Source organism: Homo sapiens, chromosome 8 (assembly GCF_000001405.40).
Source record: "Homo sapiens chromosome 8, GRCh38.p14 Primary Assembly".
NCBI classification, from domain to species: Eukaryota; Metazoa; Chordata; class Mammalia; order Primates; family Hominidae; genus Homo; species Homo sapiens.
In genome coordinates, this window is record NC_000008.11 from 2,554,386 (window position 1) to 2,575,373 (window position 20,988).

The 20,988-nt window shown below is 40.9% G+C and overlaps 1 long non-coding RNA gene across 1 annotated transcript in view, besides 1 other annotated feature; it reads right to left on the reverse strand.

Annotated features, from left to right (window-relative positions):
• The window catches only part of LINC03021 (long intergenic non-protein coding RNA 3021), a 198,360-nt gene that overhangs the window by 24,294 nt on the left and 153,078 nt on the right, over positions 1-20,988 (reverse strand). The window lies entirely within an intron of this gene.
• Positions 8,018-8,557: an enhancer, noted in NCBI's record as "H3K4me1 hESC enhancer chr8:2419495-2420034 (GRCh37/hg19 assembly coordinates)". NCBI's record gives its function as "activates a minimal SCP1, AML or CMV promoter by ChIP-STARR-seq in primed H9 embryonic stem cells {active_cell/tissue: H9 hESC(primed)}" and the evidence as "EXISTENCE:reporter gene assay evidence [ECO:0000049][PMID:30033119]".

Genomic DNA, 20,988 nt, shown 5'->3' on the forward strand with positions numbered 1-20,988 from the left:
ATCTGATGGTCATGCATATTAATTTCCTCTTTCTAAGTAAATAGCGCTGACTGCCAAGTTAGATTTTACTTTGTGTAAATAATTTTCCATTTTTTCTTCCAATATAATTTTGCATTTTAAACCTTACAGGATTCTATCCGTGTGGAGCATTTCTTACACTGTTTAGATGCCCAGAGCTAGTGAACTAAAGGAATGCATTGCATTTCAGAAAGATAAAGATTTGTGCTGTTTCCTTAATAACTTTGTGTGAATCTGATCAAGGCAAAGACCATATAGGATTCATTTGTTCTGTAATGTGACTCCAGGAGAATGTATGGCACACAGGAGATGCCTGGTTAATGCTGAATGAATGTATCTGGCAATGCAATTACCTTTTTATTTTCTGTCTGCTGAAATTCCTGGAGAAAATAGTAGTGCTGCATGAGTGCTAACATAAAGCAGAGTGCACTGTTTGGAGGCCAGCTTTCTAGGGGTATCTCTGACTCTGCCACCTGCCAGCTTTGGGGTCTTGAGAAGAGTCATTAATCTACTGGGTCTTAGTTTCCTCTTCTATAAAATGTGCATAATAGTAGGTATCAACTCAAAATGGTGCTGTGATATTTAAATATGTTGACATATGTAAAACAAGAGAAAATTTGGCAAATAGCAAATGCTGCATAAATGTTAAATCTTATTATTATCTATTTATACATTCTTGGGCTTTCAAAATATCAATCTAAAGGGCTTGATATGAAGAAAAATGCTGTATTTTTAGTTCCTAGTTTCCATAAACCTTTCTGTGGCTTTATGTTGTGTTTCAGAGTCCTAATTCAATCTGATTTTGTTTTCCCTGGGGAAATAAATAAATAAATAAACTGATTATTTTTACTCTGGTATTTTTTTTCCAGAATGGAATATTTGTGTATAAACTTAAACAAGGAGAGGTGTTCCAATATTCAGGCTTGATCTTTGCTGATGTTCACCCTCGAGATGATGGTGACCTTGGCTTTTTTTTGTGCATAACCTGTTGCCATGTTTCTCTTTGGGATTAACTATGATAAGGAGAAGATTAGATCCAACATTGTCCTCTATTTTATGGTTTAGAACTCCTTGAAGCCAGAACTATCTCATCTACTTTTAGTTATCAATATGCAAATGCCTCCCCATACAAATAGTTCAATATATTTTTGTTAAAAAATAAAATTGGTTATTGAGATTTGTGAAATTCTTAAATAGAGACTCCACCGTCATCCTTACGGCAATTCTCATGTTCCTCGCAGAATAGAGAGCCAAGAAGTAAACCCACACATGCATGATCAACTGCCCTTCCTCAAGGAGGCCAAGAATACCCAGTGGAGAAAGGACATCACTTCAGAAAACAGTGCTGGGGAAACAACTGTATATTCACCTGCAGGAGAATAAAATTGGGCTCCAATTTTGCACCATACACAAAAATCAACCCAAAATCATTTAAACACTTAGGTGTGATACCTGAAGCAGTAAAACTACTAAAAGAAAACATTAAGAAAAAGCTTCATGACATTGGTCATGTTAATGATTTCTTAGATACGATAGATAATAAAAGCACAAGCAACAAAAGCAAAACTAAACAATAGGTCTAGATCAAACTGAACAGCTTCTGCACAGCACAGGAAACAACAAGAGAGTGAAAAGGCAACCTAAAGAACGTATGGAATGGGAGAAGACATTTGTAAACCATAAGTAAGATAAGGCATTAATTTCCAAAATATATATGGAGCTCCTGCAACTCAATAGCACAAACACTAATAACCCAATTAAAAATGGGCCAAAGGTTTCAATAGACATTTCTCACATACGTAGTAGTCTGTACTCACACTGCTAATAAAGACATACCCGAGACTGGGTAATTGATAAAGGAAAGAGGTTTAATTGACTCACAGTTCCACATGGCGTGGGAGGCCTCACAGTCATGGCAGAAGGTGAATGAGGAGCAGCGTCCCATCTTACATGGCAGCAGGCAAGGGAGTGTGTGCAGGGGAACTCCCCGTTATGAAACCATCAGCTCTCATGAGACTTCTTCACTACCACAAGGACAGTGTGGGGGAAACCATCCCCGTGATTCTGTTATCTTCACCTGGGATTGCAAAATGGTACAGCTAGTATGAAAAACACTATGGACATTCCTCTAAAAAATAAAAACAGAACTAACATAAGATCCAGCAATCCCAATTCTGAGTATTTGTCTAACAAAATGGAAATCAGGATCTTAAGAAGACATCAGCACCCCCCATGTGTTTAGCAGTGTTATCCACAATAGCATAGCCAAGACATGAAAACAGTCTAAATATCACGTACGGATGAATAGATTTTTAAAAATGTGGCATACACATACAATGGAATGCTTTTCAGCCTTAAGAAACAAGAAAAGTCTACAGCTTGAGACAACATGGTTGAACCTTGAGGTTATCGTATTAAGTGAAATAAGCCAGTCACAGACAAAGGCTGCATTATTCCACTTATATGAAGGGATCTAAAGGAGTGAAACTCAAAGGATCAGAGTAGAAGGTGGTTTCTGGAGGGAGCAGAAAGGGGCGAGTTACAAATTACAAAGTTTTCATCAAGCAAGTTCTAAAGACCTGCTGTTCAGCATTGGCCCATAGTCAATACCACTGTATTGGGTAGTTAAACATCTGTAAACAGGGTGGATCTCATGCTAAGTGTTCTTATCATGATAAAATAAAAAAGAAAGAAAGAAAAAGCAAAAATGACCAAATACTGCAGTGTCAACACACTAAGCAAGTATAGAAGTCCAAAGAAAATAATTCAGAGCTGAGGAGGAACTAAAACTTTGATGGGATCACAGGAGAACAACCCTGATGTCAGACTTAGGTCCTGTAGCAAAAGACTCAGTGAGATCAAAGGGAATTCTGTGAAGACTAATTGGAGGTGGGGTGCTAAGGCAGCGGGGAGAGGCTTTGATGGCAGCTGAGATACGGGGAAGATGCCTTTGCACTGGACACCTCCACGGCCTCCCTGCCTCCTGGGGGACCTCAGGCTGTTTCGAGTCACCCAGGGCTCTTGCATCCTGCCTGCCTTCGTCCCCAACCACCACCTACAGTTTACATTACCACGAAAAAGAAGGCATAGAATTAGCAGCTAAAAACGACACCTGCTTATTAGCTCATGAATCTCTGGGCCAGAAGTCCGGGGGCTTGGCTGGTTCTATGTTAAGAGAATCCAGAGGCTCACACCCGGACATCAGCTGGGCCGGGCTCTGGTCGGGGATCTGGTGAATAACCCAGCTGAACTCAGTCTGGAGTGGGCTGAACCCGCACTCAGGTGGTAGGGCTGATGGTCTCTTTTCCATGCTGACATCATCGAGGACGTTCTGGGCCCCCCAGCTGCTCAAAGTCTCATGCAGCCCCTCCTTCTTCAAGCCAGCAAGGGAGTGTTGCATCCCCCAAATGCTTCAGCTCTGGCTACTTCCTCTTCTCCCATCTGTGGCAGACAATGCTCCAAAGGTTCAGCTGAGACCTGACTGGCTCAGGACCCTTGTCCAATCCCATATCCTACAGCCAAGTGACTTAGGACCTTGGTTATACCTGCAAGACCCTTGTATCTCTGTCCTAGACTCATGCTGATACGGTGACCAGAGGGCAGTGTTCGTGGGGTGGAGAGGTGCTGCTTTAGCCTGGCACGACCCTTCCCCAAAATGGGAGAGAGAGGGAGTCTTTTCAACATTGTTTCATTTTGTTGGATTTTTAAATATCCTACTTTTCCACATTTCAAGGAGTTATACAAAATAAAAAAGAGAAAACTTCTGGAGTCATTGTTTGAGGGAATTATAATCTTGATACCAAAATTGGGCAAGCAAAGAACAAGTGCAGGTGATTAAAGGCAAAGTCTTTCATGGATGTATTCTTAGATGATCAATGCAAGAGACATGAATTCAATAGTGCCTTAAAAATGCACCATGTACAAGTAGGGTTTATATCATGAGTGCAAGGATTATTCAACATCCGTGCATCTGTCAACTCAAATCACCACATAATTTATTAAATGGTAATAGCCATCTGATCATTCATCTAAAAGCAAAGGAGCATTCAATAGCAATCAGGAGTCATTTATGATAGTAAAAAATATTTCTAGCCTATGAATACCAGGAAACTTTTTCAAGATGATAAAGAAAATCAACAAAAACATTACATTTAAGAAGAAACCAGGGAAGTCACCATCACTCATCTATCTGCTCAGCATGGTATGAGAGGTTTTTATTAACGGAGAAAAAGTCTTGAAGTTGGACAAAGAATAGGCAATGGCACCACTATGTACAAAAGATGTGACTGTATACAGAGAAAATACAAGAAAATCTACCTTTCAGGACCTCCAGGTATTGTTCTTCTACTGGCATAAGGAATCAATTACTCTGTCAGTCTATATGATTGTTATTTTTTGCATAGCATATATCCATCTTATGTGACTTTTCACTAAGAAAAAAAAACACATCAGTTTTATTAGGAAAAAGTGAATCCAGGAGACTGTCTTTCCTGCTCACAGTTCTGGAAAATGAGGACTCCTTCTAAAAGCTGGAAAAATAGTGCCAGGGTTCACATATAACAACAATATAGAGAAAGAATCTCAAAGGATCCTACTAAACAAAATAATGTACTAGGATACAGAGACTTTAAAGGATCCTACAAATTAAATGGAAATGCAGTAAAAGGATAACATAGAGAGTAGTTCTTTATGAAGGCAACATGGCATTGATGTACACCAAGAGTCTAGGAGATTTGAAATTAAACATTGGAATTAGGAATCGGAATTAAAAATAAGGAATTAAGAGTTGGAACTGAAAAAAGGATGGAGCGGGCAGGAGTGTGCACCCATCCCCATACATCAAACCTCCACCAGGAGAGTACAGTGGGGACACATCTAGTGCAGTAAGGACACCTTACTCCTGAGAGAGATGTTGACAGTATTTGGGAAGACAAAGAAAATTTCTTTCTGGAAAAGTTTACTTTGATGGTAGCCATTTGGTCTTTGTCCTGGACATGTTTGGTCTTTGATTGCTGGACAGAGTACCATAAATGAAGACATAGCATTCCATACCAACAGTAACCAAATAAAAATGCAACAGAAATAAATATATCACCAATATTAGAAACATAATAATAAATACTTAGAAATAAATCAGCCTGTGCTAAGAACTTTGTGGTAAAAATTCTAAAAACATATTCTTAGGAAATACAAACAAATGTTAATAAATGAGAAGACTCAAAACTGATAAGAAATTCTGACAAACTTAATTTACAAAATCAATTCAAGTTTAATTTCCAGTGAGGGAGTTTTTGGACTTTGAAAAGATAATTCTATCATACACATAGAGATCCAAAGAGCCAGTGTAGCCCAAACAACTTTCTAAACGAAGACTACGTGTAGCAAAGTCCGCTCACCAGGCATCAAGTTCCATTATTCAGCTGTAATAATTAACACAAAAAGTGGACATGACCATGAAGGGCTAGGTTTAAATCTTCCCTCTGCTACTTACCAGCTGTAGGACCAGGGGCATGCTCTGTCCTCTGCATGCCCTGTCTCCTCATTTATATCATGGGAATGATATAAATGATATAATGGAATTTTTTTCATATGGAAAACATTATACATAATGTTTGAAATTTTCTTCAAAAAAAATCCCTGGGGGGAGGCAAAAATGGTCAGGTTTTAGACAAAACAGAAATGGCCATGAATTGAGCATAAAGTTCCCATAGCATATGCCAAGCACATAGCAATTGATCATTGTTCAAACTGGACAATGGGTATATGAAATGGAATATACTATTAACTCTACTTTTGAAATGTTAATACAAAGACATTATATAAAAACTACTTGTAATTCTAATAAGACAATACTACTTTACTTTAAAACACACACACACATACACACACAGCCAAATCTCATTTGCAATTGCTAATATGGTTTCAATAATTAGCTTCAATTTTCCAAAGTACTTTCAGTCTCTCATGGACTGAAAACTTTGTATTTGCTCAATAATTTCTCCGAAGGAGTTGAACAACTAATATTTTATGTGAGTAACTGACTAGTATGGAAAAGACCTGCTGTTTTCTTTCACATATTTTTACTATATATAAGAAAAACACATGCTATTGCTTGGATTTACAGTCAGATATGTCAACTTTTTCCTTATTTATTCCAGCTGGTTGGCATAATTCAAAGTGGAGCTTCTCTCAGTGTGAATTATTTGTCACTGGGTATTGCATAGAAGATGTTTTAAATAGAAAGGATAGGTTTTTTTAAACCACATTGTTCATTATACTTGGCTTAAATATTTCAGACTTCTGAAATTTCAGACATCAAGGTTAACTATATCTCCATGTATTCATGTGGACTGAACTGTGTGATACTCTAAGACGCATACTCATGAGCATTTGGGAACTTCTCAGACCATAATGACAGGATAATTTTTAAAAGTTTGCACCTACATGAGGTTCCTATCACCATTAATTTTAAATGAAAATAGAATCTTTAGATTTTATTTATTCATAAAAAAACAAAATAATGAGTTTTTACCTGTAAAATAGAAAGTACAACATAGCAATCAAGGGTATGTTCTTTTGAGTCAGACGGATTTCAGTTCAAAACCTGCCCTAGCACTGCTTGTGTCAGGAGGACCTGTGACTCACCCCGCTGAACCTCTGCATCCTTCTGAGTCCCTGCACCCACCTGAGCCTCTGCACCCATCTAAGTCTCAGCACCCACCTAAGCTCCTGCATCCACCTGAGCCCCTGCATCCAAATGAGCCTCTGCACCCTCCTGAGCCTCTGCACCCAACTGAGCCTCTGCACCCAACTGAGCCTCTGCACCTACCTGAGCCTCTGCACCCACCTGAGCCTCTGCACCTACCTGAGCCTCTGCACGCATCTGAGTCCCTGCATCCACCTGAGCCTCTACACCCTCCTGTGCCTTGGCACCCAACTGAGCCCCTGTACCCCCCGAGCCTCTGCACCCCCCGACCTTCTTCACCCATCTGAGCCTCTACACCCTCCTGAGCCCCTGCACCCACGTGAGCCTTTGCATCCACCTGAGCCTCTGCACACCCCTGAGCCTCTGCACCCTCCCTGTGAACCCGGGGATCCTACCACCCACCGGAGCATAGAGCAAAGCTTATCCCTCCTCAGACTGCTACAGGCAAGTCACTATGCAAGTTATTTCGAGACAAAAATATAGACATTCTGCTACCATCAAAGAACTTAGCTTCTACTCAGACAGACAGGATATCCTGAAAACTAAGACCCGTTTCAATGGGACAAATTCCTTAAAAGGGCGCAGGAGACAGGAAGACCTGATGCTCAGACCCCGAGGAGAAACTGCTGAGCCGGGAAGTCCGCCTTCAGCAGAAGTCCCTGCTCCTGGCTCCCAAGCTGGCCTGGTTGAGGGTCATCAGGTCCAAAGTCGCCAGGCCCTGGGTCCCTGAGCAGCGCACGGCGGAGGCGGGGCTTGAGCCTTGGCGCAATTCCAAGCTCTGGATGCGTCCCCAGGTCACTGCCTGGAAGCAGGGAATAGGCCAGCGCCGGCTGCGCCCAGCCTGCTCCTCTCCCCTGACGGTCACAGCCGCCCCGACCTCATCGCTCTGTCCACGGCCAGAAAAAGAATTCAGGACACGGACAGAAGGGGCCAGAGGAAGAAGCGATGAGACCCGCCCTATGTCCAGGACACAACTTCCCTGCCCTTCTCGCCTGCGACGGCTCCTCCTCCACCTCCTGACCTACAGCCCAGCCCCGCGCCTGCCTCCAGGAACGGGAACCCACGACCCAGCCTCGCACCTGCCTCCAGGGACGCACGACCCAGCCCCTCACCTGCCTCCAGGGACCGGGACCCACGACCCAGCCCCGCGCCTGCCTCCAGGGAGCGGCACCCCTACCCTGTGCGTCGTCCTCGGATTGAGGGGCCTTGCTCCGTTGCGGTGCAGGAAACCATGGCGATGTGCGAGAGGGTCAGGGTCGTGCTGGCACAGGTAGGAGGAGAGAGTTATGACAGGAAGGAGCTTGAGCAAAACCAGGAAGGTTGGAAAAGTCAGGGAGCCAGCGGTGAACACTGAATTCCGTAGGAGGGCAAGAACTCAGGAGAAGGTCGCCGTGGCCGGTTCAGGTGAGTTTGTGTGACCCGCTCAGCACTTCGGAGTTTGTTCTGCACCACACCGTGGGAGGTGATGGATATCGGAATGGGTTCGTTTCCAGGACTCGTCAGCTAGCCACGTGCCTGAGAGCGAGGACCCTCAGTAAGCGACATCCAGGAAAGGAGGCTGGGCCTGCAAGAATCGCCGGACTCAGGGGCCTTGGATGTGTGTTCCCTGGACTGAATGAACGGGGCTGTGCACCTCTCTGTCTGCAGCCGTACTCTCTACCCTGTCTCAACCCCTGCTGGAAAAGAAAATAATGGAAACACGATTTTTTTCTGGAGTTATTTTTATTTAGAATTGTGATTCTAGAAGAATGAATTCATCCTTTTAGAAACTGTTGTAAGAAGCACGTGACATGAAATCGACCCTCTTAAGCCATGGTTGAGCGCGCACTCCCCATCTTACGACAGGCACCCTTGTGCAGCGGTCTCTAGAACTCACTCACTTTGCATAGCTCAGGGTCTGTGCTGCTTCAGCACCATCTCCTCGCATTCCTCTCCCCGAGCTCCTGCTAACCGCAGTCTAGTCTCGGTACTTGAGAGTTGGACTCCCTTAGGTTTCACATCAGGACGAGCTCATGCAGGCCTGGTCTTTCTGTGCCTGGCTTATTTCACTTAGCATGGTGTTCTCCAGGTTGCTGAAAATGAGACTTCCTTTATGAATAATATTTCATTGTAGATAGGTACATACATTGTCTTTATCTGTTCATCCTTCAATGGGATTTTCACAATTTGTCCATCATGTAAATCAGTCTTGATATCTGAAATAAAATACGTCTAACAGTGGAAGGTTTTTAACTGTTCATTTAAAATATATATATTAGAAGCAGCGTATAATTTCAAGCCAACAAAGCCGGACCCTGACCCTACAAACTGAGGCTCCCCTACAGCTCTGTGTGCCCCAGCTTTCCCAGGGTAAAATGGGGTGAACCTCTCACTCTCTCCACAAAACTGCCAGCAGGATTTATCTTCATGAAATATATCAGCACATCTTTTAAACTATAAATATGTTATTGTCATAGTTTGAGAGCTCAAGAGAGTGATTTTTAAACTGAAGAAATAATTCAATAATATGTCAACTGTATTTCAATTTCCATTATGTTGCTTTATATTGTTCACTTCTGCTATTTTTTTCATCATTCATTCAGTTTCTGCACATTTCCACCCATCTGCCCAGTGAGTGATGAAACTATTGATCAAGTGCTAGGAAATGTCATAACTTAAAATCATCCATCTTATTGTTTTAATCTGGATTTTGTTAATACAATAAAATAGAGGCTCAGGCAAGTGTATTAAGTACCCAGTTCACAGTAACAATGCACTGAAGAGCGGGGATTCACATCTGTGTCTCTGCATGTTGAGGATGTTTTTCTGTCGTGTGCTGACTGTGAGCCTTGACCAATGTGCTTTTGCCTCTGGCTTACGGCTCAGTTCCAGTTAGTCCAGCCTCTGCCATGCTCAGATCTCTCCTCCCCTGCCAGACGTGGTGGACCTTCTGGCTGGACAGTCCACTGCCTTCCTCTGCCAGCACGTTGGATGGAAATCAGAGGATGACTGCCCTGGGGCACAGTCAATCTGCAGTCTTATCCTGGAACTCTCAACATCAGGCAGCAGATGCCTTCAGTTTTAATTACTAGCCACTATGCTAAAGGAAAAGGCTGGAAAACATTAAAATTAATTACTTCTCTTCATCAAAAGACACCTTTAGAAAAGTGAAAAAGTCAGGACAATAGCAGCAAATATAATCCAGTTAGGTCATCAATTCAGAATTCCGACAAATCAATTAGAAACCATCATAGTCATTGTCATCATCACCCCCACAGAAAGCTGGTAGGAGAGCTTAGCAGTCATCTCACAGGAGGGGACATCCAAGCTGACCACACTGGAGGAGCACAGTGCTTCCCAGGACCTTCGTATCTTCAAAGAAGTAAATGATATGAGAAAATTTCCTGGCATGTCCCTGAGCAGGAGGTGCATAAGAATATATTCAGATGTTGAGTTGATGCGGGTGGAGCAAAACTCAGGCTACATTGGATATCATTCTCCAAAACAGTCTCCTTAGAAGGGAGCCTTCTCCATCTGATGAAGACATGAGGATGCAAAGTGCTTGGAGGAAATTAAGTGAGACCACAACTTCCCAGTAGAGAGATGGTTGAGGATTGGTAGTCAGCACTTTATGGTATCTTGTCATTTGTGAAGAAAGAAAAAGCTGTTTATGTTGATAAACAACTTGCTTTGACTGACTGAGTTGAAAGAGAGAGTGGGGATGGCTAGGAAGAGAAGAGAGAGAGCAAGAGAGAGAGAGGGCAGGAGAGAGACAGATTGAGAAACAGAGAGAAGGTGGATTAATGTTTCAATGAAGAAGCTCTGGTATCTATGCCTTGTAGGCATTTTGCATAAGGTTTCAGGGTAGGTTTAGCATTAGATAAAATATTATGAGAAAAACAAAATTCTAAGAAGTGGTGACCTTCAGAAGATCATCATATAAGACTGGACCCTGGACCCACTGACTAAGCTCGGAGCACCTCCTGTTGCTCCATCCTGAGGTGTGTGGATGTTTGCACAGTGAGAAAGTCCATAAGGCCAATTATTTACCCTGAACATATATTCACTTTTATTGTGCTAATGTTTCATTTGCTTGAAACTTTGGAGACCACAGGGTGCTTAAAGACATAGACTCTTTTCTAAGGAAAAGAGTTAAATGAAACTGAGTACACACTGTATATATGTGTGTGTGTGTGTGTGCTCATACTATGTGTATATGAGAGCGAGAGAGACCACTGTATCTATATCGATCTATCTATCTCTATATAGATATATGGGAGAGATATATAGATGGGGGAGAGAGAGAGAGAGAGAGAGAGAGAGAGAGAGAGAGAGAGAGAGAGAGAGGGAGAGCTCCCAGTGAGGACAGCTTCTAATATTTATTCATTCAGTAAATTAATTACTGTTAGCAGCAGTGAATCTGCACAGGTTTGCAGCAACCTCATTTCTTGCCTCCTCAGATAGAAGAATTTGACTGACGGCCACAAAGCAGAGTGAGAAATCAAGGCAAGTTATAGAGCAGGAGAGAAAGTTTATTAAAAAGTTTCAGAGCAGGAATGGAAGGAATTACACTTGGCCTTCTTCCGAGTAGGTAACTTGAGGGATCCAAGTGCCTTCTTCAGCCCTTGACTTGGGGTCTTATACACTGGCATATTTCCAGAATCTTGCCTCTCTTCTCCCCTAATTCTTCCCCTGGGGCTGGGCTATTGCGTGTGCAGTGGGCTGCCAGCACTTAGGAAGGGCTGCATAAACAGTGTGTTCACTGAAATTGTGGACAGACTCACTTGACACACTTTTCCTTTACCATTTCAGTGTTCCTAGAGCAAGCTCATATACCAGTGAAACACCCCCATTTTTCCTCTTAGGGTGCATGCTTGAGCCCACTTTCCTAGTCCTGAGATCTTACTGGGAAGCTGCTGATCACGTTTCAGGTGCTTTCCATCTATTAGGAGACTTCCTTTCCCTGGCATCAGCTGTGACCTCTTATGATTTTAGAGAGACAATTTAACAACCACCTGACCATTGCCTGATGGTCACCTGGCATTTCTGGTGGGGGTTGGGGAGCCCTCCTGCCTTGCTCACATCTGCCTAGCTAACTAACATTACCGACTTTAGAATAAAGGTCCACATCACTGGATTAATAAGGCACTGTTGTCTCTCATTGGATGTTGGCTGGCTGGTGGGATTTGCCTGCATACATACACAGAAGTAAAGAGCAGGGGAGAGAAAATATTCATAGAATCAACAATTTAGAAATGAAATTTTTGATGATTTTCTTCACCATTATAGGCAAATGGAAGCATTTCAAATTGTAAACTCTTTTTAGAATAATGAATAATTCTTTAAAATGAAATGTATCAATACTAGTAGGCTTTATTTGGGAACAACAAATCCACACCTTCAAATTCATTCTTAAATATTTCATGTAAGAAAGCTGTAGCACAGAGCAGTTCATCGACTTGCCAATGACCATAGCAGCTCACTGCTGGTGGAGCCGGGGCCAGGTTTGTGTCTCACTTTTTCAAACCAGTGTTCTCAAATGTCCAAACTCATTAGTTTCAAAGTTATCACATTTTTTTAAAATCTGAAAACAAGCTGATGGCTTAGAAGCTGATGTTGGGAAGGTGCTTCCAAGTGATACAAGTTTTGCATTTTCTCTTGTAGACACCTCTTGGGAATTCACTAAACGTGTCTGCTATGGTCTGAATATCTGTGTCACCTCCTCCCAGATTCATATGTTGAAATTATAAACCCCTAATGTGATAGTATTAGAAGGCGGAGCTTTGGTAGGTGATCAGGTCAACAGGGTGGAGGCCTCATGAGTGGGGATTGGGGCCCTTGTGAAAAAGGAAGGCTCCATCTGTGAACCAGGAAGCCAGTCCTCACAGGAGATTTATCTCTGGGTGACTTGGTCTTGGATTTCCAGATTCCAGAACTGTGAGAAATGAATATCTGCTGTTTGTAAATCCCCTGTAGCCTGGTATTCTGTGATAGCAGCATGAGCAGACTAGAAAAAAGTCCTGCCGGTCACATGGTGAAGCCTCAGCCTGATCACTTCTATCTCTTTTGGTTTTTTACTTCCTTGAGTGATTCCTGTATCTCATATCATGTGAAATATATTTCATCGTGTTTGAGATTTTAACAGGTCATTACAAAACTAATGATAAGGATAATCAAATTATTTTAATCCTATGAAATTAAAATCTCAAAAGAAGAGAAGAAAATGGAAATGAACCACCAAAATAGTAATAATCATAATGACCACAGTAACAGTAAGCCCCTTAATTTGTGTCTTGAACATGTTCTTGGTACCTCCCTGTGTTTACAACCAACCCTTTCACCAACCATGTGGGGCAGGTGCGTTATTCTCATTTCACAGGTGAGAGCACTGAGGCACACAGAGTTTGAATACATTGTTTAAGGTCACATATTTAGTTTATGTTACAACTAGGGTTTTTTTTTTTTTGTTTTCTTTTTTGAGACAAGTTCTCACTCTGTCACCCAGACTGGAGTGTAGTGGTGCAGTCTTGGCTCACTGCAGCCTTGACCTCCAGGGCTCTGGTGATTCTTCCATCGCAGCCTCTAAACAAGGCATTCTGACTCCAGAATCTGGTACACATACCTAAAAAAGTGAAACCTGGTACCTCATCTGAGAATAAGGCTGACTACATAAAACATCACGTGGCTACACTCCCAACCGAGGCATCAGTAGTACGCTTCGCCCACATAGACACACACTTTTTATTCCCACTGTGTGTTTATACCCTCAAACCCCTTTGCAGAAATGATTGAGTGCTTTCTATAGGGCTTCTTTTAGCCTAAATTGAGAGTAAAGGTTTAAAAAAACAGTTCAATATTTAAAAAAAAAAACAATTCAATGGACTGAGCACAGTGGCATACGTCTGTAATCCAGGCACTTTGGGAGGTAGGAGGGTCACTTGAGCTCAGGAGTTCGGGACCAGCTTGTTACAGCTTGATATGTAGCATTTCATCTCTACAAAACAATTTTTAAAAAATTAGCCAAGTATAGTGGCATGTGCCTGTACTTCCAGCTACTTGGAAGCTGAAAAAGGAGGATCTCTTGAGCCTGGGAGGTTGAGGTTGCCCTGAGCCATGATCATGCCACTGCACTGCAGCCTGGGTGACAGAGAGAGACTTTGCCTCAAAAAAGAAATAAATAAAATAAAAACAAAATAAAACCAGTTAAATGGACAAGAGAAGAAAAAATGGGGGAAAAAACCAATGAAAGATACCAATAATAGACATTTTATACAGATAGTATTTGAAAAGTTTTCTACATCTTAGATCCAATATGTTTTTTTTCCAATCATATGCTCTCTTCTTATAAATAATCTTGCAAAAAGGTAAAATAGTTATAGAATCATCATCAATTAGACGTGCAAATTAAATGTAGTTCCTCACAAAGGAAAAAAAACTCACCTTTTTGTTTCTTAAACTGGCACTTGCTAATTTAGAACTTTATTGTAAAATAAAATGCTTTCTACTTCCCTAAGGGGTTGGGATTCCTATATAGTTTCTGCATACAGGAAAGAACTTTAGATTTTACTTTGGGAAAACAAACTTTTTGAATTAATTTTCAAATAGTCACTTATCCTATGATGAACTTCGTAGACATTTTCCCTGTAGTTTTTCAAAGTTGTTAAATAGATCGCACTGTACACAGCATATTATTACACACGTGGTACACCATGGTTGTCTATGGCATATGGAGCTGCGTGCAACCATGCAAAAAGCTGTCTGCAAAAGCGTTGGCTTGACTGGAAGACACAAGGAGGGTTATGGCTTCTCGTGACCTTGATCATTCACTTTAATTTTTACAGATTCAATTTTTGCACGTAGAAAATGGGCCAGTCATATCTGTCCTGATGTCTGGCAGTTAGTTATGATGCTCTTTATTATGATATATGGGGAAGAGTTATTAAATGAATAAACAATGCACTATTTGTTTTCATTATGGAATGCGTTAGAGTTTGATAGAAGCCATACTATTTTCATTTATCTGAACTTTTACTGCTTAGACTACAGGGGTAGGAGTCACATCTAGATCATGTTACTTCATTTACATCAGCAATTTGCAGGGACCACCTGCAGCAGGGACCCGCCATGGGCTCCGCTTTTGATTTACAGCTCAATGCACCTGGAGTTGATCATGGAGCCAACGAGTGCTGTTATGCTGTGACAAACCTTAGTGTTTTGCTTGCACCTCTTTTTTGACATGAGAACTATCCTACCATAGTACCTTGTTTGCACTTCTTCCAAAATACTAATAATAAACAGTTATCTGAAATAGCACCTGAAGACAAATGCTTCTAGAATGTGGGCTTTGGGGAGGCCATGTGGGTTTGTCAGGAGAGACAGAGAGCAAAGGCTGCGGGCGTGCCAGGCTGCTGCCGAGGGGCGCGAAGATGGTGGAGAACATGTCCCAGGCCTGTTTGTCCCACCTTTTGTATACAAGACACCTTGTATGTTTCCTTAACAAACTTGTGCATGCATCTTACATGCCCTACCAAACTAATTATTTTGAAGCCTACTGCAGCTTCATACCCTCCTTGTATCTTCCCCAAGGCTCAGCCTAGGGCTTTATACCAGGAAGCTACTTGTTAAGCCGTTTTGCTTTAAAATATTAATATCACTATTTCAGATGCAGCCACATTCATATTCAAAATTTCCTTTTACATTAAACAAATCCTACTGATCAGTAGATGGCAAGCTTGCTACATCTAAATACTGAGGTTTGGTTTTTCTGTTAGAAACTTCACTGACATTTTATTCCAAAATATTTAAAGCTTCTTTAAATTGATAGCATTCAGTTTGTTGTAAAACTGACCTGCTAATGCAATAGTTGATGCGTTCACTCACATCGAACTTCCAGCATTTAAGATACTGAATTAAATGAAAATGGAATTCCCAAGTCAAGTAAACAAATGATGCACTTTCAATTAATAAAGTAATTCAGAGTTTTAATTCTTATTAATTAAACTTCTATTTCCTCACAAAATATGCTCTAGCTACCCCATAATGGTTGCACCTGAAGAAACACGTCTGTTTGCCAGAAACAAAATAAAGAACTGCTGGTCACAGCTGCTCTGTTATGGTCCTCTGCTCATAGCACTGTTTCTGTTTTAATATAAGCTAACCAAGCAGGGAGAGAAAAGTACTATGTCAACCTCACCCACATGAAAGTGCCAAATAAGAATTCAGGAAAAGACAAGGGAAGTTAAGTTCTCAACAAACAAATCAATATGATTAAGAAAACTAACAGAGATGACTTGAGCCCAGGAATTTGAGTTCAAGACAAGCCTGGGCAACATGGTGAAATCCAGTCTCTACAAAAAACTATAGAAATTAGCTGGGTGTGGTGGTGAGTGCTTGTAGTCTCAGCTACTCAAGGATCTGAGGTGAGGTGGGAAGATCACCTGAGCCCCAGGGAGGTTGAGGCTGGAGTGAGCCATGATGACACCACTGCACTCCAGTCTGGGTGACAGAATGAGACCACCCAGAAAAAAAAGGAAAGAGAAAGAAAGAGAGAGAAAAAGAAAGAAAGAGAAAGAGAGAGAGAAAGAGAGAAAAAGAAAAGAAAAGAAAGAAAGAAAGAAAGAAAGAAAGAAAGAAAAAGAAAGGAAGAAGGAAAGAAAAGAAAGAAAGAAAGAATGGAAAGAGGGAGGGAAGGAGGGAGGAAATTAAGAGGCAAATTGAATTCATACTTTATTTATTTATTTATTGACAGTCTTGCTCTGTTGTCTAGGCTGGAGTATAGTGACTTGATCACTGTAGCCTCCACATCCCACGCTCAAGTGATTCTCCCACCTCCGCCTCTCAAGTAGCTGGGACTATGGGCACATACCACCATGCCCAACTATTTTTTTTGTTGTTATTTGTAGAGGTGGGGTCTCACTTTGTTGCCTAGGCTGGGCTCGAACTTCTGAGCTCAAGTGATACTCCCGCCTTGGCCTCACACAGTGCTGGGATCACAAGCATGAGCCACCATACCCAGCCTGGTATACACTTCAAATGACTTGATGAGAAATACATTTTATTTATGAGTTGTTTTCTATTTGATAAGGTTTTTGACAGATAATTTGATCTGAAAAGAAATCATGACTTTTCACGAATAATAAATAGTATTAATTTTCTACAAATACTTTTTTGGGCCTTTAAAACTCAACTTTATATGATAAAGTCTAGATTATAGTAGAACAAAGGTGATAATAATTTGTATATTGTCTTGTACAAGACAAGAAATCACAGCTAAAAGCTACATAAGTGGCCTGGGCAAGGTGGTTCATGCCGGTAATCCCAGCATTTTGGAAGGCTGAGGCAGGTGAATCACTTCGGGAGTTCAAGACCAGCCTGGCCAACACATTGAAACCCCATCTCTACTAAAAATACAAAAAATTAGCTGGGCATGGTGGTGCACATCTGTAATTTCAGCTACTGGGGAGGCTGAGCTAGGAGAATGGCTTGAACCCGGGAGGTGGAGGTTGTAGTGAGCCGAGATTGCACCAATGAACTCTAGCGTGGGCAACAGGACAAGACTCTGTCTCAAGAAAAAAAAAAAGAGAGAGATAAGTGCACTTTATAGTCAGATGTGTAAATATTCCCTTTTGTGGGATAGTAGAGAAATGGTCTGGCTGAAGATAAGTGTCCTGACTATCTATGGTAGAAACAGTCCCAGACTGCAGTCACATGAAGCCACAGCTGTATATTGTAGTCATGGTTTTGTGGGTTAGACATGCAGGCAGAACTCAGCAGCAGCCGCGCCGCCTCCATCGGGGAGGTCAGGTGGCTCAGTCGCACCGAGGGGGGGTCTTCTCTTCTCCCTTCTGCATCTGCGGACTCAGGAAGGCTCCCACGGTTTCTTGTCTCACATGGCCTGTGCCTGGGGTCTGCATGTGGTCACTTTGGGCTTTCCCGTAGTGTGAAGACTTCAGAAAAGCTGGACTCCATGGAGACTGGGGAGACTGGGCTGGAGGGAAGCGGGCCAACTTCGCCTTGCCCTGCCTTGACAGCCCTGACTGTTGTGTCGGCCATGATAAATTAGCCAAGAATAATTGTGAAGACCAGCCCTGGCTCAAGGAAGAAAAAAAAAAATAGACCCTTCTTCTTAGAGAAGCAGCAAAAAAAAAAAAAAAAAAAAAAAAAAAATTCAGCCATCTCTAATCTACAAAAATAAGTATGAAAAAGTAAAATTCAATGAGTTCATAGTCTAAAGAATTACAACCTAATGCTTTGGGCAATTCTTTTTTATATAAAATGGACAGGAAGTGCTTTCTGTGCTACAGGGCACTAAAATCATCATAGAGTGAGACTGGGAGAGTCATCCGAACCCATCCTTATCCCATGAGGACCAAAAGTTTCCAGGTTCTGAAATTAGATTTTCTCAGTCACATTCCAGGCAGAAAGCACTTACTTCATGCACATTGGTCTGGTTCACTTTCAGCATTGGAGGAACAAGAAAATAACACTAATTCCAGCTACTTCCCCGAGGCCACATTACCTCCCAGGATATGAAAATGTCTATGTCATTTTGCAAATAAAAATGAATAATTTGAAGTGCATGCATATGATGTCATCGCAAGTATATATTTGCTTATTCATTCATTTTAATTATAAGGATGTTTTTGTTATAATATAGTTTGACTCTATTCATATTTTGCAAAAAAATAATCCTTTTGGGTTAGAAATTTCTGTAATTAGTTTCAGCTTAAAGATCAACTAGATGAAATGTACAGACTGTTTTAGAATGGACTATAGTTGTCTATAATTAATAGCACATATTGCCTCTGAATCCCATATGGGCCCTGAGAGAAGAAACCCTTCAAATCAAAGTCTTACCTGTCTCTCTTTTGTCTTAATCTAGAATGTTTTTAAATATCAGGTATATATGTAGGATGAAGATTCATGAATAATGTGTGTCTTATTAGGTAAAATTCACATTCTTATGAGACTGATTTTTGGAAGATATTCTTTTAAATCATGTTGAGAAGCTACACAATTTCTGCTGATCATAAATGACTGATTGGCCTATGTAGTACACTGGTCATTTATGGTGACCTGCAAATTAGAGACCAGGCTTTTTAAAAGATATCAAAACATGTATATTCCCAAAATATGAGAGCTCATTCTAAACTCTGCTTTTATATATTTTGACACTAAGGCACAGTGTAATTTAAGTGATTCACAGACGTTCATTCAGCTCCTGTAAGAATAAGTGTCTGTAGAAATATCTGAATTCTGATGCTGATCCAATGGAAGTTCTACAAACTCTTTGAACTTTTTATTAAAAAAATCTCAAACACTTAAGTTATGGTTGTTAGATGTTTCATAAAGCCAAACAAAAACTTCAGAGGCAATAAACCTCTAACACAGAGTTGCTATATTTTGTTTCAAGTCTTGTTTTCTGCATAGCTTGCTTTGGCTTCAAAATGTGCATGGCTTGAAATACAATAAAGAAAAGACTTCAACGTGTGTGGATTACATATATTGGTTACATTATCAGAACTTGAAATAATAATGAAATGTGGGCTTCAAGACCATGTGACTAAATGATTTCTCACACTAGCTTTTTATACTATAACAATACCCAATTCCTCCTAAATACTTCTAATGATATTTATATGGTTGGCTGTGTCCCCACCCAAATCCCATCTTGAATTGTGTCCCCACCCAAATCCCCACTTGTCCTGGGAGGGACCCGGAGGTAACTGAATCATGGGTGCGGGTTTTTCCTGGGCTATTCTCCTGATACTGAATAAGTCTCATGAGATCTGATGGCTTTATAAAGGGCAGTTCCCCTGCAGGTTCTCTCTTGCCTGCCACCATGTAAGACGTGCCTTTGCTTCTCCTTTGTCTTCTGCCATGATTGTGAGGTCTTTCTAGCCATGTGGAACTGGGAGTCCATTAAACCTTTTTTTTTTTAAGTAAATTACCCAGTCTCCTGTGTGTCTTTAGTAGCAGTGTGAGAACAGACTTACACAGGTATCAAACCATATCTGGTAAAAGTTAAAGAGCATATTCTTTGAAAAATTAAATAGCTCTTTATCTTGAGCTGTTCCTTCTGATCTAATCAACTTGAAACATTAAGTGCAGCTATGGAACAAGTTGAAAGGTGGGTGTATACATTGGTAAGAATAGTGTAGCATTTGCACTATGCAGATTTTTTTAAAGTTCATTTTATTAGAGTACTTAGTGTACTCTTAATGTAATATTGCTCACATCTGCTCATAGGTAATAACTCATTGCCACATAAGGAGATAAAGCAGCTCAGGACAATGAATTGGTCTGAGTTTTGTCCATCTGTTCCTTTCCTGCCTGCCTCCTTGACACCGTTCAGCCACTCGAGACTCTAAGCATTCTTTAATCCTTGGTTCAAATACCACATCTTGCCTCCATTCAGAAGTCTTGCCTTCTGCCTTTGAGCTCTTTGCTAGTTTCTCTCTTTATCGTGTATTATTGTCTACCTTGTAGTCAATTTTACTTATTTCCTTGTTGGTGTCTTTTCTCCTCCTTAAGGGGACAAATCCAATTTTCACTTTGTGCTGGAAAAACTAAAAGGTAACTATGAATTTGTAATTTATGACCAAATAGGATAGACACTAGAAATCGGGAAGTATAAGGCCCTTTCTCTTTTCTTTTTTCCAGCACTGGTATTTTAATGTGCAGGTGAAATGGGAAGTTCAGTGAGGCCTACTCTCCAAGTTCCATTAGCAGCTCACCAGTCTGTGCTCCCATTGAGCTAGTTACAATTCTGTCACAGAGCATATTACATTCATCTTAGATATTCATTTTCTTGCCTTTCCAAAAGGTTCAGTGAGAAATGGGAGGTTTAATTTTCTAATTTGCCAGTGCCTAGCATTCTCTCATCTTCAAAATTTAGCCCATGATATTTCTCAGACTTGCCATAAAATAAGCAATGTAAATATATGTATTGTATTAACTTGGGAATTTATGATTTAGTATTAAGGTACTCATTTGGTCTGAAGAAATCCCATGGTTTTTCTACATTTTAATAATACAAACATTAATCAATGTTTATTGAGCGCTTGCCATATGGCATGCACGGTGCTGAGAGATTTATGTACATTATCTCATTTAATCTACTTTACAACATTTTGAATTCAATATGGTGATTGATCTAATTTTGCAGTGGAGGAAACAGACTCACAAGCACACAGCTGTAAGCACCAAAGATCAGATTAAAACCCAGACCTTTCAGCCTCAACTGCTCCTTCTGCTTGAAATCTCATTGCCTACACACTCAGGGG